This window comes from Homo sapiens, chromosome 14 (genome assembly GCF_000001405.40).
Source record: "Homo sapiens chromosome 14, GRCh38.p14 Primary Assembly".
In the NCBI taxonomy this organism is placed as follows: Eukaryota; Metazoa; Chordata; class Mammalia; order Primates; family Hominidae; genus Homo; species Homo sapiens.
Genome location: NC_000014.9, coordinates 33,144,930 through 33,168,879, shown reverse-complemented (window position 1 = coordinate 33,168,879; position 23,950 = coordinate 33,144,930). Strand labels below are relative to the sequence as shown.

The 23,950-nt window shown below is 37.4% G+C and overlaps 1 protein-coding gene across 19 annotated transcripts in view; it reads right to left on the bottom strand.

Moving 5' to 3' along the window:
* Window positions 1–23,950, bottom strand: part of NPAS3 (neuronal PAS domain protein 3) — an 869,389-nt gene that overhangs the window by 635,294 nt on the left and 210,145 nt on the right. The window contains exons 1-2 of one of the 19 annotated variants that reach the window (XM_017021588.2): window positions 18,466–18,711; window positions 7,881–7,940 (exon numbers count right to left, since the gene is read on the bottom strand). The exons of 17 other annotated variants lie outside the window; for them this stretch is intronic. The gene's annotated coding sequence lies outside the window, so the exon portion shown is untranslated. One more of the 19 variants, XM_017021587.2, reaches the window with a different exon arrangement.

Sequence of the window (23,950 nt, the reverse complement as noted above, 5' to 3'; positions counted from 1 at the left end):
CTCTTTGAGAAAGACTCATTTTTTACTTTCTTAGAGCTTGAGCCTGCCTTGGAGTTAAAGGTTACAGAAAAATCATGGTTGGGACAGAACAGGAGGAAGGCCAACGTGAATGGCAGAAGGAAGAGGGGAAGAGGGGAAGAGGACATAGGTGTGAAGCGGGAAAAAGGAAGCTAGTAGAGACTGAAATGAAGGAATCAGGAGAGGAAAATGCAGTCGGGAAGCATCCTTGGTGCCTTCTGAGTCCCACTAGGGAACTCTACACCAACTACAGGGATAGCAAAGAAGGAAATGAGGGGCAGTCAGCTTTGAGAGCTATCACACAAGATCTTTAGGGGCTTGGGGCTCCAACTCGGAAATGTCTCCAAGTAAGCTCAAAAGCTTTTTTAAAAATTACAAATTACCTCCTCAGACAGGCCCCTGTCTTTGGAATGATATGCTTCTCACAGCTTTGGTTGAATTGTTCCATCTGAGGATGTCTGATGGGGTCAGATGTCTGGTGTCTTTGTTTTCCTTGTGACCTTCTCTGCTCCTCAAGGCAAGGGAGAGTCTTGTTTGCCTTCGAATCCCCTTTAGTGCTTACAGCTGTTCTACACACAGTAAGCTGTCTCTAAACTATACTAAAGAGAACTGCAACTATCCCAGGATTTCTCAGAGTTTACCCCAACTTTAATGTTTGCATATTTTAGAGGCAAATGTGCTCCAGGTGAGCACCTCAGCCTGTGAGTCCAAGCTGAGTTTCCGTATGCAATCTTGGGCTCTTCCGTAGCTACGCTGCTCCCAAATGCTCAGAGAGCCCGGAAATCAGTCAAGAAAGTAACACATAAGGAAAAGAATGCTAAATGAAAAAACAAGCCACAAAAACTAGGGAAGGCTGTCCAACCCACTTTTGAGAGATGCACAAGAAATTCAGAAGCTGTGTGTGAGACTTATTTAGGCGATCGCATCTCCCAGGGCATGGAATTTTCCTAAAGCTGCCTCATTCACTTCTAAGCAAGGATTTTCGTTATTGTAAAGTATGTCATTCCTTACATGGGTATGCTGCAAATATCATCGTAAACTTCCCATATTCTAGAATAACCATGTCTGGAAGTTGGGTTTTTCCTCCCAATGTAACAGTTAGCAACGGTATCTCTTATTATTATGTGGCATGGTGAAGGAATTGTGTTTTGCCCAATTCCTCTGTTTCTTAACATATTGCTCACAAATGTGCATTCAAGAATGAACAAATTCTGGACCTGAGATCTCATTTATAAATACATAAATCTATATTTATCAAAATTAGTATTATCTTCTATTTTCAGAAAAATAATAGTGTAATACTCAATGAATACAACATTTTGTAGTCCACACATTTCAGATTTCAACAGCACAAATGCATGTAACACAGGATTTGGTCTTCAGCAGATTGATTTGTTAATTTATCTTTACAATATACGTGCGTGTGTGTGTGTATGTGTGTGTCTGTTTGTGCGTGTGTGTATTCATTCCATTTTCCATTTTTGCTAGCCCACTGGTTCTTAACTTGGCTTGAATACTTTGAGAAATTGCCCTGGGAGCCCTCTCTCTAGGAGATTTGAATGTCCTCAAAATAAATTTTTGCATACACTTTGAGAGAGTTTATAGAACTCCTGAAGCTGATCACGGCCCCTCTGCTAAAAATCTGTGTGGTAGAGTCAACTGCATTGTCTTTTGTTGCTAATAAACAAAGTCTGAACTTTATATACAAGTTTCTAAACCTGCTAGAATTCTACCTCCTGTGTAGATACCAAGCGTTGTAAATTCTATTCTTCTAAGAGGCTCAAGGAATCATATTATGAAATATTTCCAATATGAAAATAGCCCTTGTGAAGCATGCAGAATTAAAATGATCTAAACCATGAGAATGTCTTACTTAAATTACATTAAAAGGAAATCCAGGAGCAATATAGGAAAGTTTGGTAAGAAAAGAGCAGTGCCTTTAAATCTCCACTTAGTGATATACTAAGTGAAATGAAAAGCATTCGCTTTAACCTTAGTTAACCTTTTCCTCCTAAGCTCAATTTCCATACTCTTTAAATGTCTTAAAATTAGTGAAATGATTTCATTTATATTTTTTCCACCCCAAATTCATCAGTGAGGCAGAATCGTATGTGTACCATCTCATCCCATTTGCCATTCAATGGAAGCCAGCACCATAATTCTGCATCAGAAGAGAACTGAAATGAAGGCAATATGTCTATCAAAGGGGCCTTATATTAAATGTAAATTTCTTTACTCTTTCAGATAAAAGGGCAAATTATTTAATTCACTTCAATTCAGAAAGCATTTATGGAGAACTGAAAGGCATTGGGCTAGGATATGGAGGGAAAAAAATACAAAGATCCTTGGAGAGTGCCTGCCCTCCCTCCAAGAGTCTACCTCTTACTGAGGGAGACAGATGTGCATGCAAGACAGATGTGAATTCAAGGCAGGGTGGAATGCAGGCTGTAACTGAGGGACATACAAAGGGAAGAGATACTTATGTTTATGGAAAAACTAGAAGGCTTCATGGATGAGGCACCATCTGAGTTGGCAGAAGGATGCAATCTCTGCTGCTGGGGTCAGGAACGGGGAAGATGCCCACAGAACAGGTAAGACCAGCTATGTGAGGAGTAAAGCCCAGTGCCAAATGAAAAGGTGAAGCCCCTTGATTAAACATTATTAAGGATTTCAAGAAGATGACAGCAGCAAATTGAACCGAGGGGTGAGGGGGAGGCTTCTGTGAGTCACAGGTCGCAGGCCTATGAGGCCGGTCTGACAGCTTATCAACAGCACAGCACCGACAGTAGTGGAAGCACATGGGGAGGCATGGTGGGGAGACCACAGACTATCCTCATGGGGCTGGTACCTAGCAACTTTAACCATCCAATATGTGAGCGTGGCTAAAGAAGGCAGGACAATTCTTCTATTAACATAAGGGAGCACTGCTAAACACACTTTGGGGATGGGGGGACACAAAGTACTCACAGAATGTGGACAGAACACAGAAATCAAACCAACATGCCCCCGAATATGGATTCCTATAAGCCTAGGCTGAATAAGTTTGCTACAGAAAGTGTCACTGTGCTTGACAGTTTTGTTTGGGGGAAGGAGGAAGTGGGGTAAATGGTGCACATTCTTTCAAAATGTACCTTCAATTAAGCTTAAAAAAAAAAAGAGAGGAAGTAAGTTTTAAACTAAGCAAAAAAACAGGTATTTACATTTTCAGTGAGGCATAGTATTTCAAATCTCCTGCCTTTTTCCTTCTTTCAACAATAAATTATCAGCCAACGCTCTGATAAGGCCTCCAGATTAGAAATGATTCTACTAACCTTGTTTTATTTACACTACGCATGCTTTGAGTTTTACAGTTCAGTAGTAGAGCTGCACAGCTCCTCACATTAGCCCTGAGGCTACTTTAAGCTCCAAGCAGGCTGCTCTGTAAGCATTGGAACGAATTCTCTGTAGTCCCCATAGAAATCCCATGGAATGCAGTTTCCTGCTGGTTTGTTACACTGCATCAGAATAATGATAATACGAGGATAGCCTACTAGATTATGCAATGAAACAAAACTCACACACCATAGTCCAACCAGAGAGACTTTAACCCTTCTCTTCTGCAATTAAAGCTTCCTACTTACATCGAAAGGTTGTTTGTGAATAATCCCACCAGGGAGTCAACCCAACAAAAATAAATCACCCAGTGCTTTCCGACAGGCCGAGTCCAATGCCTGGCACCTAGTACAATAAGTATTTGTTGAACAAATGATGAATGCTGACCCATTTATCCTGACTGATTTTTCCTTCTGCCCCAAACCTGACTTACACTCTGCTAAACTTGTCTCTCTTACACCTTTCATAGAACACTTCAGTACATTTTTCTGCATTTTAAATGATTCCCTTATGAATTCTCATAACTCTATACCAAAAAGTCCTATTAAATTCATAATGGGATAACCATGAAAAGGGAAATTATTGTATTAATTCCCTGTCTCACCAGTACAGAAGGAAGTCAGTGAATTGACAGGAAAAAAAAAAAAAAAGAGTCACCTGTGCTGACACAGGAGAAGCAATGGGGTTCTGAGAGTCAGCACCCTGGCTCTGCCTCTTACTAGCTCTGGGTACCCAGGAAAGTTATCCAACTTCGCTGGGCCATGATTTCCTCATCAGTAACAGGAATACGAAAGAAATTTACTTATGTAGTCACTGTGAAGATTAAATGGGACACCATGAAGCACTTAGTAAAGTATCTGGTATGTGGCAACTATTCAATAAACACTAGTTGCCATTATTATTATTCCACTAACAGTAACTAGAATAATGTATCTCTGTGGTTTTTTTTTAAGTTGTTCATTTGAAGAAGATTTTAAAATATTTAAATAATATAGAATTTTAGAACAAATAATCATAAATTTAGAAGACAACTGGGAATATTTGTGACTGGTAAGAACTTCTTACACAGAAGATCTTATTTAAGAACATGATATAAGACCGATTACATAAAACAAACAGTTTTTCATCCTGAGACACTTAAGTTCTCAATTCCATTCTCTGATAAGTGAAGCTTCTTCACAAAATTGAAATCTTTATGAAACTTCTTTGTAAATATAAAATAATGTAGTTTAACATTGACTGATGGAATTTGAATCCAATGTTTCAATACTTTGCTGTATAAGAGAAAATGGTGATAGGGAAACCACTGGCTCTCCTTACAAGATTGTCTGCTTTAAAAGACATATCAGAGAACACATGAATTTTCACAAGTACTGAATTAAAATCTCACATCAAACCTTATTATCATTTTGAAATATTTGGCCGTGCAAAAACCAACAGGCAAGCTCTTTCTAAAAGAAGTCTGTCATTTCTTCACTGCCCATAACCCTGCCAGCTTCCCAATGCTCCTCTGACAGTATAATCAGTCAATTCAATCAGAGAAATTTAAAGTACAATGGTAATTTTCTCTCACTTTTTTCTTTACACTGTCAGTTCAAGCCACCTGCTGAAAGCACTGATGTGGAACAGCTCAGTATTAGCTCTGAAATTAGTACCAGTTCCCAGTTAAATACCTGGCACATTCGGCCTGGAATAAAATCTCTTAATGGCGTGTAAGCCCATCAGCAGAATTGGCACATTACTTAAACTAGCCTTTTTTCCAAGTCATCTGACCCTTGGTATAATGACACAAGACTAAAAGCAAGATGGAAAGGAAAATGGGTTCAAGGACACAGATGCAAATTTGAAAAAAAAAAAAAAAAAAAACAACAAAACACTTCTGCTTAAGTATTCTTAAGTGTGATGTTACTATGGCCTACTCTAAACAAACTTTTAAATTCAGTATCCAGCCCATATCAATAGCTAAAACGTTTAACAAGATTTAACTTGTCCAGCAAGTATTTTGTAGAAAGAAATACTGCATTTTAAATGAAAGATTCTTTCTCTCTACATATCAACTCAATTTGCGACTGTGTGCACATTTTTCGCATGTACCCTTAAACAGAAAGTAAAGTGCAATTACCTCTGCTATCTTACATGCTCCAGCTCTCGCCTGGCCTGCCAAGCTCAGCAAGCAGGTCTGTGAGCACTGACTGAGGCCGCCAGGATGAAAGGCATTTACTCCATCTACTCAGAGGGTCGTCAATGGACAACCTGTACAAGATTTATGCTTTAAATAATAAATGAACTAAACACCTTGAGGTAATTGGCTGTGTGAAGCTTCACAATAGCCCAGATAGCTTGTCTGAACAAAGCAAAATAAGATTAAATAATGAATGAGGGGTACAGAGATGTTAAAGCCAAACTAACACTGCACGGTTTTTTGAAAAAGTGAAAGTGGTCGGTGAGTCAGGTTGTCATGATGTTAAGAGGTGTCACTGGGACTTCCTTTTTCTTTGTCAGCAGTAATGATTTCAAAGATCTGTATTTTTCTAGATTCCCAGTGTTGAGTACATAGCAGCCAGTTCTGAGTGACAGAAGATTGTCCAAAGTCTACCGATGCTCAATTCCACTTGCAATTTATGAAGACAGAACCAACATCCGATGATGTCTGGAGGAAAAATATCAGAGCAAACTTTTGAAAAATAATGTTTCTGACACATGTACAGATTTAATACCATCTGCCACCACAGGGACCAATAAAGAGAGGAGGTTCTGTCAAGCAGCTTTCTAAGTCAGTTGCAGTGTAGACGCTCCTCTTGGGCCACTTTTTTTTTTGCTTGTTTTTAACGAAAAGTTGATGTTTGGTTGCTAGCTTTGGAGAGAGAGTAAGAAATTACAGTCATTGGACAGTCAAGTCACAAACATGAGAAGAATTTAAAAGGAAATAGCAACTGCATCCAGGCACATTTATAGATGCTAATTCCATCATAATTTGTTAATAAATTGTATTTAGCTTTATTAAATTTTTAAAAGATCAGAAGATTAGTCCTTATTAATTCTAAGTGTGATAGTGACCTGAGGCTATGTAAATAAAAATGCCCTCATCAGTGTGAAACGCATATTAAAGTATTTACAATTGTAAAGATATGATGCCTGGGACTTGCTGGAAAATACCATAGGGAGAAAAAAATGAAGTAGAGGTTAGATAAAATAAGATTGAAAAAATATTAATAATTGTTGAATGTAGATATGGATGCATGGAGATTCATTATTCTAGACTCTGTTTTGTGTTTAAAAATTTCTGTAATGAAAAGTTTAAGTAGACAAGTACCTGGCTGCACTACATCAACACAGATGACCGTATAAGCAGGTACATAAGGAAATGCTCTTTGCAGGGATTTGCAAAATTCATTCAGCAAATATACATCAGGGCCAGCCATGTGCCCGGCATGGTGCCTACTCTCTGCCAGGAATGAAGAAGCCTAGGACTCTATGCCCCATCCCTGGAGGAGTATGGCCTATTCAGGGCTCCTCTGATAACTGACAGCAGCACTCAGCTCTAAGACCTGGCTCCTCAGCCTTCATGGCTCAGGTCCTATGTCACTTCCTCACATGAGCCATTCCTATTTCCCACGTCTTATGTATGCAACATTCCTTATCCTGCTGGTCTCTACCTCAACCCCTACTTGTTTCCTTCAAAGTACTTATGAACATTTGTAATAATTTTACTTGGCTATACTCTCATTGACTATCTCCTCCAGGACAGAGCAAATGGGAACCTACCTTTCCAGTTCTCCCCTGTACCGCTTGGCTACAAGACAACAACTATTGATCTCTCTCATTATCCTCTTAAACCATGGAGGAAGCCATCGTGAGCTTGCTACTTTCATTTGCAAATAAATATACTCCTTTAAGACTACAGAACCAGTATTTGAAACATAAACCACAATGTCAAGTACAGTGATACCAATGTATTAGTATCCTCATTCTTCACCCTTGTTTTCTTAAGTATATAGCTTTTGTTGATTAGAAGACAGTGGTCAAGAACTTGGGCCTTGGGATCCAACATACCTGGGTTTTAACTTCTTTTCACTAACTGCATAAAGCTGGGCAAGTTAATTAGTATCAATGATTCTTGCTCTCTACATCTATAAAATGGATAGGTACTAACTAAATCACAAGGTTTTGAGAAGTCAAAAATTAATCATAATGTTAAGCAAAGTGCTTGGCACATAGTAGGCATTCAATAAATATGCTCCTTATCTCCATACTACTTCCTGCTTCTAATACCATCAGGAAACTATACAGAAAATATTAAAAAATTAATCTGGGTAGATGCCTTTAGACTTTAGATCTAAAGAATACTTTTAAATAACTTAATATCCCCATGCTTTCTAAGGAAAAGCTAAAGTCACTGCCAGAGCATGAACATGTTCCAGCCAGTACATGAACGCATACTAAAGTATCTGTTATCTTTCATTGTCCTCCACTGTTTGGAAAATACTTACATTTAACTCAACTTTGAAGCTGTCCAAAGTATGCTCAGTACCATATTTCTCCAATATGTGCTACAATGAAGACCAGTAAGACAGTGAGTGAATGAAACACATCAGTTGGAGAAACTCAGAGTTTTTCATTTGGAAATGAAATGCCCCAAAGGGAGAATGCTTGCTAGCCACTGGCCACATGGCGGAACTTCAAAGATAAAATCAAAACTGAGCGCTGACTTCACCCAAGTTCCTGCAGTTCTGTGACTTAAAACAAAAAAAAAGTAAATAAATAAAAACAGAATCATAACCTTTAGAAATAACCAGAATCTATACTTGAAAGATGGACAGAACCACAGACTTTTCTTTTTTTTTTTTTAATTATACTTTAAGTTTTAGGGTACATGTGCACAACGTGCAGGTTTGTTACATATGTATACATGTGCCATGTTGGTGTGCTGCACCCATTAACTCGTCATTTACATTAGGTATATCTCCTAATGCTATCCCTCCCCCCTCCCCCCACCCCACAACAGGCCCCGGTGTGTGATGTTCCCCTTCCCAGAGCCACAGACTTTTCTTTGGCACAGTTAATCAAACTATTAATTCAGAGTTTTTTCACTAAATGTGAAATAAAAATCACCACTTTTGGACCACTTATTTGCTATACACTTGGATATATGGTCTTAATATCTCAAAACTGAGTTAATAAACCCAAAAAGATAGATTTTATATTACCATGTTGAAGACAATGAAATTAAAACAGAGAAAATATAATTGACTTGATCATGGCATCACTTAAGAATAAGTGGAGAAGCCTGGATTTGTATCTAGGTTTTCTTATATTTAAAAAGATGTACTCTTATGTCTCATACATGACATTTTTATCCTGCAAAGATTGAAAAAAGAAAGTTTTATATGTAAGATATGTTATCCTTAAATTTGTCATAATGTGAGTTAAACTAGCTAGCTACAATGCTTTTATAATATGCAAAATATTGAAATAATTTCATTTTTAAAAAATTTAAATTTGTTGAGTTTAGTCTTAATTTAGAAAAACTTGTCTCTTGCAGTTAAAATCATAAGCCAGCACAGTCTTTATTCTATATGTAAAAAATTTTTCTTACGGGTGTTATAGGTAATAGTAAACTAGTAAAAGCTTGTTACAGGCCAGACGCAGTGGCTCACGCCTATAATCCCAGCACTTTGGGAGGCCGAGGCAGGTGGATCACGAGGTCAGGACATTGAGACCATCCTGGCTAACACGGTGAAACCCCGTCTCTACTCAAAATACAAAAAATAAGCCGGGCATGGTGGTGGGCGCCTGTAGTCCCAGCTACTCAGGAGGCTGAGGCAGGAGAATGGTGTGAATCCGGGAGGCGGAGTTTGCGGTGAGCCAAGATTGCGCCACTGCACTCCAGCCTGGGCGACAGAGCAAGACTCCATCTCAAAAAAAAAAAAAAAAAAGCTCATTATAATTAATACTATAATTAGCTATTCTGCACACAAATTTACACATGTGGGCGACAATATAAAAACATCTAAGGACAGTGATTTAAGTTTTGGACAAAAGAAATCTGAAGTTGACAAGATTCCCATAATTCTACAAGAAAACGTTTTACCTTGGGGGTTGTAGGTTCATTGGTAACCACAGCCCCCAAATTACAAGATGCCTCACGACTTACTGTTAACCCAATGCAAACTTCAGAGCTCACAAAGCAATTCTGGTGCATCAACTCATAAACAAATTGATAGTGTATGACAGTTAGCTTTAGGTAGTGGGTCTACATGAAAAATAAAATGGGGAATTACAGTAATATTTTGGTTTTTAATTTAATTTTATTTATTTATTTTTTTTGAGATGGAGTCTCTCTCCTGTTGCCCAGGCTGGAGTGCAGTGGTGTGATCTAGGCTCATTGCAATTTCCGCCTCCCAGATCCAAGCAATTCCCCTGCCTCGGTCTCTGAGTAGTTGGGATTACAGGCATGCGCCACCATGCCCAGGTAATTTTTGTATTTTTGGTAGAGGCAGTGTTTCACCACATTGGCCAGGCTGGTCTCGAACTCCTGACTTCAGGTGATCTACCCACCTTAGCCTCTCAAAGTGCTGGGATTACAGGCATTAGCCACTGCGCCCGGCCAGTAATTTTGTAAAAGAGTCTATCAAAACCTTAGCTAAGAACCCCTTTCCCTAACTACAATAATCAAATCCCCGACATGAATAACATGCTTTCAGTTTACCAATAGTAATTACCAGTAGACAAGTAACAGGGCCCCTCTTTAAAGCACCCCCATCTCGTGGCCTTTGCACTAGCTGTTTCCTCTTCTGGGACTGTTCTTTCACTGACTTTTGTTATGTACTGTTCTCATAATTTAACCTCTGCTGTCTTATCTTCAGCCCTTCCATGAACACCCTCTCTCTGCAGTACCTTAGAACTCCCAATTATTGTGCCTACACCATTTCCCTGTTCCCTTTTGTTTTTTAATACTTCTGCCACCTTTAGTTCTTAGGTTTTTATGACTGTTTACAAATTTCTTGTCTGCCCCACCCCACTGGAATGTCCATTAGAAAAGGGACATAATCGCTCATGTTCTGATTCTCTAGCTAGTACCCAGACCAAATATAGTGTCTTCCAATAAATACATACGCATCTAAACCAGTGGTCCTCACACCTCAGCATGTATCAAAATCATGTGGGGGGCCTGTTAAAACACAGATTTCTCAGTCCCACCTGAAGCTTCCAATTTAGTAGTTCCCAGGCTGGGCCTAAAAATTCAACTTTCTAACATGTTTCCAAGTAATACCAGTGTAAGGAGTTAACAAAGATCAACCACAGTTCGCGGTACAATCCGCTGGTGCTTTCTAACGGACTACCACTGCTCAACGATTTTGAATACAAGTAACAGATAGATTCCTTCCCAAAAATAAATGTAACTGTGAAATTTTAAAGAACATTTTTTTCCTTAAATTTCCATTAAAATTTCCAAGTCTAAGCTTTAAGTGCCTCTTTTACTTTTTACATGCAATTAGTATCATTATTACCAGCCAACATTTACCAAACACTAACTCCCAGTTCCAGACACTATTCTAGGCACTAGTGTTATCTTCATGTCATCTTCGTGTAATCTTCACAAAAACCACATGAAGGACTATTGACATCCCCATCTCACAGATGAGATGACTGAAGCCCAGGGATACTAAGTAGCTTGCCAAGGTCACTTGTAAGTGGTCAGGAAGACATCCAAACCCAGGCGACCTAGCTCCAGATCCTGACTTGTTAATAAACACAATTGTACCCGGTCTTACATAAGGTACATATTCCATGAACAGAGATTCTGGAAAGTTAATATAAAATATAGTCTTATTTCCTGAATCATGGATCACCTGAACCACAGGTTTTTACAAGCTCTAATTTTTTTTCTCTTTCTTGACCACAAAAAGAATGCATATAAATAATGAATTCTGTATTTATACTACTAAAGGGAAATGTGTGATTATACCTCACCACTAGACAAATACAAGGTATGTGTGTGATATATTGGCTGGCCCTGCCTGTGAACATTCCTGCAATGTAAAAATTTCTTCATCCAAGGACAGGTTCTTTCACCTTCCCATCTGTCCTGTGAATTTTTAAATGTCCGAGACAGGTGGCCTGTTGGAAACCTAAAACCCTGTGGGTACAAGATATGATTAAAATCTGATGTTAGGTTCTCTGATAAAGAAGAGTTCTGTGTTTAGGCAGGATTTTGTAAGTAACCTGCAAAATATGTCAAAGATAATTTGAACCTTATGTAACTAAAATCTCTTTAATTCTAGATCAGCATATGCTATAACAAACTTTTGTTTGCTCAATTTCCCCATAGAAAAGTGCAGTAAGGACTACATACCAATGCCATAAAGCATTAAAATGTGATTGAATAGCAAATTTTTGATGGTTTGAGTGCTATATTCTTTTTCCCCTTTCTAAATTCACTAGTGGTTTTGGAAATGATGTAGTCTGCTCTTCTTTTTTTAGAGTTCCTCTTGATTCTATCTTTGGTAAATGTAACTACAGTTCTCCAAGCAATATTTATAAATACTGCATTAATGGCAGTTAATAAAATCAGTTAATAATGCAAGCTGAGTTCCATAACTGCATATTACTGAGCTCATTGCGAAATATATTATTCACAAAAACCTTAACGATAATTATATTTCACCTAAATGCTAAGTGCACTGTGACTTCTCTGAGAACTAAAATGCAAAAGAGAAGAATTAAAAGGCCACTTCTCAGGAACCACTCCCCAGTTTATATTTGTAATGGAAAGCACAATACAATTTTTAAAAATATAATCCATTTCTTTCTAGAAAACATGGAAGGAATTTAATTGAAATCTATTTAGTGAGAGCTGAAATCTATGCTGAGTTTAAAGTTTGGCACAGAATACTAAGCAATGATCATGCAGATAATTAAAATTTAAAATGTTAAATGATTTATATTCTTGTAAATAATTAAGGGAATTTAAAAATCCAAGTAAGGAGGTGTTCGAAGAGAATATGTAGCACCAATCTATTGTCTAGAACAATAACATGTGAGAATATGTTACTTACATTTTGTTACTGGTAATGTCAGCAGCCTTTAATTTAAAAAGCTTTAGCAAACTTAATGAAATTAACCTAAATTGATTGGCATTCTGATCCAGCAGGTATTAAACACATCAAGGTAAAAACAAGGCCACTGTGACAAATTCAATAGATCAATCTGCAGTGATGCAAAAATCCAATAAATTGAAATTTAACTAAAGAATATTGCACAAATGCCAATCCCTGCTATGAAATAAAGGAGTATTCATTTGAGACTATATTACTTACTATAACTACCATGAAATCTATAATTGTGTTGTTTTTTGATTCTACACCCTTATACTGATTTCCTTCATTTTGAAAAGTTCCTATTTTTATTATTTTCAGTGCATAGACTTCATCACCTAGGCCTCCCCCTTGGTCTTTGTTCATTCAATCACAAATCTTCACTAAGTGGTGATCTATCTTTGCCAAGCAATACAGCTTTCAAAGTAAGTTTTTAAAACAAGTTTAAATTAATGAATAAATTGACAGAGGGCATCTGAAGAGAGAGTAGTCTCTTTAGAGTAGTAAAAATATGGTAATATTTAAAAATGCAGAGCATAGCACTATTATTCACTATTTTGATGTTGCTGGCATCCCCAAAATGGGAATCAATACAGAAAAATATGCCTCATCTACAACATGAAGACAGAGGGAAGATACCTACACAATTTCTGCTGACACACACACCTGCAGACCACACTCCCTACCTAGGATTAGCTCGGTGAACTTTGGCAAAGGGAAGAAACCTCTTCCATAGCTGTGTTTATCTGCTAAGGAAACTTGGCTCTGGTTTATATTCATATCTCTTAAGCAACTAGCACAGTGCATTGTATATAATCTCTACTCGGAATAAAGAAAGCCAAGCATAGTGGCTCATGCCTGTAACCTTGACTACTCAGGAAACTGAGGCAGGAAGACCTCTTGAGCCCAGGAATTCGAAGCTGCAGTGAACTATGATTGTGTCATTGTACTCCAGCCTGGGAACAGAGAGATACCCAGTTCCTCCTCACCCCCAAAAATCCTCAAATTATTTGAAAATACCCAGGAGAAAACTAAAATAATGCCCACAAGAAGAATGGAAATGGTTACAAAGGAGAGAAAGAAGTTGACAAATGGAATACATGAGAGTTGTCTGAACTGGCTCTAAATAATTCTCCCATCAACACAAAAGCTTGAGCAAAGCCATCCCAATTTCAAACAATGTCTTCCCACCTACAGATGTCAGATTATCACAGCTGACACTTGGCACAAGAGGAACAGCACTCATCCCAAGGCAAAAGTTTTAAACCAAGATCAGCAAACTATGCCCTGCAGGCAGTATCTGGCCTAGCACCAGTTTTTGTTTAGTCTGTGAGTTTAAAATATTTTTATACTTTTAGATGGCTGAAAAAAAATTAATAATAATACTTGTGATGTGAAAACTCTAAGAAACTCAAATTGCAGTGTCCATAAATATTTATAGAAACATGGAAATCTTTACCAAAAACGCAAATCAACTGCATGGAAAAGTAAAACTCTAGGTAGAAAACTCTGGGTAGAAGCCTCAAATGGCACCTTAGAGGCAGGTCCTAGAATTGTTTTCATTAAAATAACAATATCAAAATCATTTCAAACATAGTACAAAACAACTATTTTGTCAACATCTTTCATGTAACTAATTGTCATATTTGTTTGTTAGGAAGCAGAATAAGAAGCCAGTGGCCTGGAATCCTTTTCTAAGGGGAACAGAAAGGACTGCTGTCATTGCATATTATGTATTTTTTCCCAGTATTTATTATCTCTACATGGGACCAACATCCTTAGCATCTTGAAAAGATGAATGATTTTAAATCTGTAAAAGGCTTCACGATCAGTGAATGAAAGTGGCTTTACAAATACAGCATCCTCTGAGTCGTAAAAAGAAGTCGGGAAGCATTTGTCCCTGTGCAAAGGTGACCTATAAACCACGAAGCAGGAGACACCTGGTCGATGGGGCTCAAAGCGCAGCTTCCGACCATTAAACATTCTTAGACATTAATCTGGAATATTGGCATAGCAAACATTTTCAAAAAGATTATGCACACATTCCTTAGGATCAAAGGTGAGTTAAGGGAAGGTATAGTCAGAAGCATAAAGCAACAACAAACTCATGAAGGGCCAACTAATCTTAAACCAGCGGTAGTGCCACATCCATCAGCATAGCTGTCAATATAGTGAATTGGGGACTTGATTTTGCTTTAGAAACAGCTCTGGCAGCTAACTGCCCAGGCTCCAGGAGCCAAAATGGTAATCCAAATTAGGACATAGTAGCAGCAAAAAAGAGGAGAGAGAAGGCCAATTCTACCTATATTTTTCCATAAAGAGATCTCTAAATATTTGTACAACAAAGAGTTCTAAATTGGGATGGCAGCCTGGACCCACACTGAATGCTCCCTTCTGATACCACATTAAAATTACAGGAGAAATTACATGTAAGACATAAACCCGTAAGAACTGGGAAAACAGGGGAAGAGATATCAGCCATGAAACTTTTTGTGGTAGTAAACAGATGGATTAACAGCAATTTATTTAGCAGCAATGAAACAAGAGACCCCAAGCCAACAGTATGCAATGCTGAGAAAGAGTCCAAAACACCACAGAAGACACAAATGGTTTAGGACTCGGAGTACCAGTCACCCATGGAACTGAGAGAAAGGATGGTTCTGTTGGAAATAACACGGCTAAAATAAAGACGATTGTATGAAAGCTCTTTGAGATGCAATTAGATGTCTGGTCTCAGCTGCTGAGACCACCTCTGTAGAAATGAGGGTGGGAGGTCTGGAGGTTTATTCTCTGGAGATCATTAAACAGGAGCTCTCTGGACTAAGGGATGCCAAGAATGGTTATGGACCCCAAACGGGAAGATTAAGTGATCATATGCACTCTGAGAACCCACTCTTTCCCCCACAGGGCTCCCAGAACACCTGAAGCTCTCCAAATGAGAAATTGGAAGTTCCTTCTTTGGGGAAGCTAATCAGCCCAAGAGGACAAATTTAAAGATAACAGACATTGGAGTTCCCTACATGGTTCACCCAGACCACTCAGTAATGAATTTCAACAAGCCCAGTTCATGCACTCAGAACTTCCAAACCACTTAACCATAAATAGACAATCAAAGATTACAAGACAGCTGAAAAACTCTCTAACACAGAAGATACGACTCAGATGAAAAAAAAAGTAGAAAATGGTAACTTGCAAGAAAAAGACTAAGCAATAAGAAGAAAAGTAAAAAACAAGCATGTTCCTATTATTAATCATCAGGGAGAACAGAAACTGCATCTGCAGACAGGAACAGCTAGAATAAAAAGAAAATTCAGAGAACAAAAAAAGGTTTTAAAAACTAAAAACAACAAAAATGAGAGAAAACCAGTCTAAGAGAGTAAAAATCTGAGGCAATCTCCTGGACAGCCAAGCGAAATATATTGAGAAAATATTTTTTGAAAATCATCAAAAAATTCCAATATCGAAACCAGAGCACCAAAATGGGGACACACAACAGGAAAAAAGGCAACAAAGTTACTTAACATTTTCCAGAACTGAAGGATACATTTCCAGATTAAAAGAGACCACCAAGAACCCAACACATTGAATGAAAGTAAATTCACACCACATTACATGCATCAGTGGGATATTTCAGAACACCCAGGAAGAAGCTTACATGTAAACAATCATCAGAATGTCACAATCTCTCTCAACAACAAAGCCAGATGCTATATGAAAATGGAAAAACGGCCTCAAATTCCGAGGTAAAATTATTTCCTCCCTAGAATTCCATATAAAAACATCAATCACTTAAGGATGTAATAGAGACATTTTTAGAAATTAAATCCCCTCCAAATCTACTTTTCATATACCCTTTCCCAGCAAACTACCAGAGAATGTGCGCTGTCAAAGTGAGGGAAGAAAAAAAGAAATGGGAACCACATGGGACAATATGGACACCATATCTGAGTCATCCTACAGAGGCCAGCTAAGTGTAATGAATGTCATTAGAACATCACTCTTGCTGGTGAGACACACAGCAATGACGGTTCCTGATAGAAACAGGAGAAGAAAGAGAAAAGGGAGGAAGAGGAGAAGTAATGATGCTCCCAACACCAATGGCTCTGATGAAGCTTTGTATCTATTGAAATCAACACCTTGGAAAAGCCTTCCAAGTCCTTATAGACTCGAGTTGCCCAACCTTGGTACTACTGACATTTGGGGCCAGGTAATTTTTGTTGCAGGGGCTTTCCTGCGCACTGTAGGATGTTTAGCAGCATCTCTGGCCTCTACCCACTAGATACAAGGAGAAGACCCCATATACACACTTTTGACAACCACAAATGTCTCCAGATATTGACAAATGTCCTCAGGAGGGGCAAAATCACTCCTGGTTGAGAATCAGAACTATAGAGTGAAGGAGAAAAAATAAAAATCTTCCTAGTGAAAGATGTATACGTAATATATCTATCCAATACACACCACACATGCTTGTATACGCTCAGTCTCTGGAAGGGTACCAAAGGAGTACTAGTAGCAGCTGCCTCTCTTAGAGAGAAAGAGACTAACTTTATTCTTCACTTATTTTTAAATATTTTTATTATATAGTCTCTTTCCAGAACAATGTATAAAATTAAATAATCTTACATTTCAAAGGAACATATCCTCTCACCTACACTTGTAGGAATGTGATCTACTAAATATGCTCCCATGCATATAAAATTATGTATTCAGTTATTATTTGTGACATTGTTTGTAATAGCAAAAAGAATAAATAACTGGATTCAATGATAAAATGCTGTGAAATATGTAATCCCATAAATATAACATAAATTCATCACATGATACAATTTTCAAAATAAATCATGAGGTTAAAAAGGCAAGGTAAAAAACAGTGTGCATATTTTAGGCATACACAAGAAAATGCACATTCTCATCACCCTCTTTTATACAAACTGACGGAAGTCGTTGATTCCAAAACAGGGAACCAAGTGGTAGGAGGCCAAGGCAGAAGAGAGGCTACATGTTCTTTTGTGCGTTGACATTTAACCACATGAAGATCTTACTTATTTACGTTAAAATAACACATGCACCCTGTGAATGTTTGTCCTCCAGTAGTTCTCCTGGGTTACTTTCTCAACTAGCAACCGAGGCCTCAGAAGGCCTCCTTGTGGGAGCAGTCACAGCCCCATGCCTATCATGTAGAAACTGTTGTTTCTGCAAGGATATGCTCCAAGGAAACTTGACAAAGAGGCCGGTTATGCCTCTGAATGGCATTTTGCATTGACTGCAAAGAAATAGTTATCTTTCTTCTTTCTTCTCCCAGAGAGATTCACGGTGTTAAGTATAATGGTTGAAAACAAATAAAGAACATAATTAATTCCAAAAAATCTTCTGTTCCTATCAAGGAATATCGTATTAGATCCAGCTTTTTAAAAACAAATCAAGAAGTGGTACCGCAATCAATAGGATATAGAGGCTATGTTTAACAGTGAAATCCTATCTGGTTGTGAGTGGAAGCCCAGCAATGAAATTGGCTCAGGGAAGAAACAGCTGTCAGGAAGATGTGGCAAAATGACTTCATAATCTGACTTCTCACTTAGACTGCTCTTAGGTTAAATTGGAGAAAAACTCATGAGATCAGAGACAGAGTAGTAAGTTCTGGCTTAGCTGTACTCACAGCATGATTACGGAGAAATCATTTCACCTATTGCTAAGTGGGGATAATTTCTGAATACAGAAGAAATATGGGGAGGATTAAAGAACAAGAGAACAACCACTAAGAGCACCTGAGAATTAAAGCAAACAAAATTTTATAACTTTACGTATTGAATTTATTTATTCAAAGGCAATACCAGAACACTGAAATGCAAAGGAAACTATTTGGAGCAGTAGAATTATCAAAATATTTCCCAGATGATCAATATTTGGTGAGTTTATTTCATAATAAAAACAATTTTTAAAATTTGAAAACAAAAAGAAATGCAGCGCAACCTACCAATTTATTGCTGATGCACGTTTCAACAATGGTTTGCTTGAGTCTTTAGGTTCATTCTGACATGTGACATCACAGAGCCAAAATAACTTTGATGAAGGATGAGTGCTGAAAGACAGTTAATCTCTTAAACCTCAGCAGGTGCTCACTTAATTCAGTAATTCTTTTTTAGAGAAAATTCTGCCTGAGGGGTAAGTTACATTTTAAAAATAAATAACATGAATAGCTATAATGATAGACTGGGTAAAGAAGATGTGGCACATGTACACCATGGAATACTATGCAGCCATAAAAAAGGATGAGTTCATGTCCTTTGCAGGGACATGGATGAAGCTGGAAACCATCATTCTCAGCAAACTAACACAGGAACAGAAAACCAAACACTGCATGTTCTCACTCATAAATGGGAGTTGAACAATGAAAACACACATGGACACAGGGAGGGGAACACCACACACTGGGGCCTGTCAGGGGGTGAGGGGCTAGGAGAGGGATAGCATTAGGGAAATACCTAATGTAGATGACAGGTTAATGGGTGCAGCACACCACCATGGCATGTGTATACCTATGTAACAAACCTGCACATTCTGCCCATGTATCCTAAAACTTAAAGTATAATAATAAAAAAATGCTGATTCCTCTATCTAGTTCAGGCAAAGAGGTGAAGTAAGAATTTTCTAGGTATATTTGCAGTCCTGAAGTTCAAGAACCAAATATCTAAAGGCTTTCTACATTACTGTTTTAATTCAATAAATATTTTTCAAGGTACCCACTATATGTTAGGACACTACTAAAGGAAGCACTTATATACATAAGTAAGTAAGCCAATTTGCAAGCTGGATACACAATTTTAAAGGAAAGTTAGACCAAAGGAAAAATACCACCACCACAAAGCAAATTGTGATATCAACTGCAGAGCAAAACAAGTCATGTACCATCAAAAGTACTGATGAAGTACACTTTATTTATGGCTGTAGGCATTTAAGAAGATAGTCATGAGAAGGTGTGATTAAGCACAACCTTGACTGATACAGAAGTTTTTAAATATTATTGAAGAAAAACTTATTTGAACAAGAAATTTTAAAAGCATTTATAAATCTTGGTCCAAATCAGTCACAGGAATGATGAACACTTCGGAATAACAAGAGGAGGCACAAAGCGTATCAAGTTTTCTCAAATCATTTGGAGTATAGCCCTTTCCTTTACATACCTTATGGATTATTCCTATATTGATGGATAAAAAGTAAAGTAATAAAAGTCTGTTATTCATGTCACAAATGTCTCAGATAAGAGCTATCAATGAACCATCAATCATTGGTATATTTATATACTGTGTCAGAACTAACACATCAGTACTCACAAAGTGACTTGCTTCTTTAACTCTAAGGCAGTGCTGTCCAGTAGAAATACGATGCAAGGCCAGGCCAGGCCCGGTGGCTCGCGGGGTATCCTAGCTGTATCTTAGCACTTGGGGAGGCCAAGGTGAGAGGATCCCTTGAGCCCAGGAGTTTGAGACCAGCCTGGACAACATGGCAAGACCCCATCTCAACCAAAAAATTAAAATTAGCAGGGTGTGGTGGCATGCATCAGTGGTCCTAGCTACTTGGGACGCTGAGGTGGGAATATTGCCCGAGTCTTGGAATTGGAGGCTTACAGGGAGCTTTGATCACGCCACTATAACCTAGCCTCAGTGACACAGTGAGACCTCGTCTCCAAAAAAATTTTTTTTAAAAAAGAAAAGAAATATAATGCAAATCACATAAATGATTTTTAACTTTCTGGCAGCCACATTTAAAATTTTTTCAGTTGAGCTTAATTTTAAAAACATATTTTACTTAGCACAATCTGTCCAAAATATTGTCATCACAATTAAGAATGCAAAACTTTTCAGGAGACATTTTACATTCTTTTTAAAAACTCTTTGAAATCCAGTGTGTATCTCTATACAGCACATCCCAACTCTGACTAGCTACGTATTAAGCAGTCAATAAGCCCTACCATAATGGACAGGGCATCTCTAAGGTATTACTGATACAACAAAACAGTTTGTAATGTTGGCTTATAATAAATATATAATATGAATGACTATGTGATGTAATATTTTTATATACTCATTGTTCCTTGGGTTAATTTAGTACATTTCTAAGCAACAGAAATGAGATAATAGATGAATCTCCCAAAATCAGTATGTAAAATTAAAATTTTGCCTAAAATAAAGCCTCATTTTTGCTAAAAGCAATTAATATTGGAACAAAATTTAACCACACACTCAGGATTAATTGCCCCCTATGGTTACTTATATTACTATAAATATCCTTCAGAGAAGAAAGGTAGCAAGGGCACGAAATTAATAAAAGGTGAACTTTCCCTCATTTGTTTCACATTCTATTGGTTTCTTGAAGACTCTGCTTCTTGCTATTTGGTGTAACTGAATATGTTCTTATACCATGGCCCAAGTTTGAATTGGAATTTATTTAATGTGTGTATGTACAAAAGCTTTCTTTCAATATGAAAATACTGAAGTGAAAATTTTCTTACTGTATTTATAATGAGTTTTTATTGGCTATAAAATTTTCATCTTCTAATAATTGCCTGGCATCTTCTAAAAGTCTAAATTATACATGACTGTGCATACTTTTTTTAATCCAAACTTTTTTGTGTGTATATATATATATATATATATATATTTTTTATTCTACTTTAAGTTCTAGGGTACATGTGCACAATGTGCAGGTTTGTTACATATGTATACATGTGCCATGTTGGTGTGCTGCACCCATTAACTCGTCATTTACATAAGGTCTATCTCCTAATGCTATCCCTCCCCCGACCCCACAACAGGCCCCGGTGTGTGATGTTCCCCTTCCTGTGTCCAAGTGCGGCACTAATCCAAACTTCTTGATCTTAACTAAACATAAGAGTCATTTTTATTTCTATCACCTAGCATATTGGCTATTTGTGGTTTACTATTATAGTTATAAAGCAAGTTTGTCATTAATCATTTTATTTTCCTTTCAGAGAATTTTAGAGCAGCAACAGAACTAAGAAATACTTTTCAAATCCCACATTTTGCATATGGGGAAATGGAGTCTTAAAGAAGTGACCTGTAAAGAACAGTTGATTATCTAATGAGAAAGAAAAGCCTTAACTTCCAATCAGAACTACACAAACATGTCTTCTTTATTCACTTCAGCAAGGGCATTTTTACATTTAAAACAGCTTCTTTATTCTTTATAGGATGTGGAAGAAAAAAATGCAGATTAAATTCAATCAATAATTTCTCATTCAATTATTGTAAGGTTGTGTTTACTTATTGCAAAGATAGACCATTGTGCCCATCTTTAAAAATGAAAAGAAAAAAAAAACCTGACATACAAAAATCTTAACTTGCTCCACATATAAATTAGGAAGTGATTATTTGCATTACAAAAGATTTCACTTTACAAAAAAGATATGTAGCAAGGTTCCTTGAAATATCAAGTCCCTTGGTACAGCAAAAATTTAATCCAATTTACAAAGGAAACAGGGAAGGAAACAACTTCAGCTGAAGTGTAACTTCTACTTAAAAATCTTCCCTGATCGAGTCATGGCCCTCTTCTCTACTCCTCCTGCCCTTCGGTAAACCTCTATCTTAGACATTATCCATTTATGCATCCCAACATTCAGAGAGTAAATCATTAATTTGACCACAGCTAAGGCATGTTTAGGTGTCTGAAACTGTGCTAGGCACTGTACTGCAAAGGTGAATAAGATAAACCACTTCAGCCTCTCCAGAACAGTCTTTTATTGTAGAATATTACTGTTGTTGTTTTCCTCTTCTGCATGTCCTCCTAAATTCTGAGTTCCTTGAGAGCAGGGATTGTGTCTTATTCATAACTGAGCCTCCAGCGCCTAGCATGATGCCTGATTCACAGGACTCAATAAATGAATACTGAGTAAGAAATATAATTGTTGAGTGCTATCACGTGCCAAGTGCCATCCTAGGCCTAAGGGATTGTCATCTCATTTAACCCTCAAGAGTTTCCTCAAGATGGGGATTTGTACAGAGTATGACACTCAGGCTCAGAGCTTAGGGAAGGGGGTCGAGCTTACACAAGTGGAAAGTGGTAGAACAGTTACGCAAACCCTTGTCTGGATAACACTCTGAAGCTCATGCTTCCCCCACTTTACTTACAAACTACCAAATTGTGGTATCTGTGCAATGTTTTGGGATGCTCATACACATCATATGTAAGCAAAGAAATTAGTCACAAATATAGAAAAAACAGGTAAAAAGTGAAATTTCCCATCTTCCCTTATTATTTCATCTTATTTTTTGAGAGGCATAATCTATATTTATATATTAGGCAATGCTCTAACAAGGACATAGCAGCTTCTACATGAAATTGTAAACCATCTGCGACTCTTTACTTGTGATACATTCATAGTAAAGCCCTCGGTAGCCAAGTATAGATTTTCACAGGCACACTCTTTCATTCTTCTTTAAGTTATTTTTCATATATTTAGTATATATTTTCTTTGAAAATAATTAAAAAACAACAAGAGGTCACATTTCCAGTTCCATGGAAACCCTTGGGTTATACCCTGGCCCTGACATTTCTTGGTCCGATAGTCTGTGAAATCACATTAGGAGAGTTGCAAAGACAAAGAACTGAGTGAATGAAAAGAGCCAGGCATGGTAAGGAAAGAAACGAATAGGCAATAGGAAAAACAAAAAGGACACAGTACATAGCAAAACTTATCATGGGCAGTGCAGAAAATTAAACCACTAATGTGGGGAACAACACTGTGCTGTTCTTCTAGACCTCAGAAGGACAAGACAAGGTACTGAAAATGATGAGAGGATTATTAGGAAGAATAGAAAGTAGATCTATCATTTGAGTGACACCTATCACGACGGGAGGGAAAAAAATAAAAAGTGAAATAAAAGCAAAAGTCAAGGCCAAAACTGAAGAAGCACTATAGAAATTTAAAAACAAAACCTTAATTTGCAAAGGAGAAAAAAGGTTTCAAATCAAAGGAGCATATCATGATCCATACAAAGACAGATTTTGTAACTTTCTAACTTTCCTTTGAAATTCCGGCCTATCACTTCTTCCAGGTAATCTCTTGTCAACTTAACAAATATCCTGTTGGACTTTTATTAGGGATTGGAAAAGAAAGACATTCCTAAATGCCAAAAGAAAAATTTTCATACATATACACGTTCATATATACATACTCTGGGTAAAGGTTTTCAATACAAGGCCCAAGGGGTAGTGGGTGAACTGCAAACCTCTCTGTAGAATAAACCAGCTTATCTTAAACAAAATTCTGGTTGGCATCAAATATCTCCCCTGTAACTTAAATATCATGAGAGAGAAAGAGGAACAAAATTTTCAATGATTTAACTAAGAGGAAAATGTTCATAAGCCGAAAATTTTGTAACAAACCAAGTTGTAATTCAAGTATGATAACAATAATAGATAAAATATTCGAGGACTCAGAA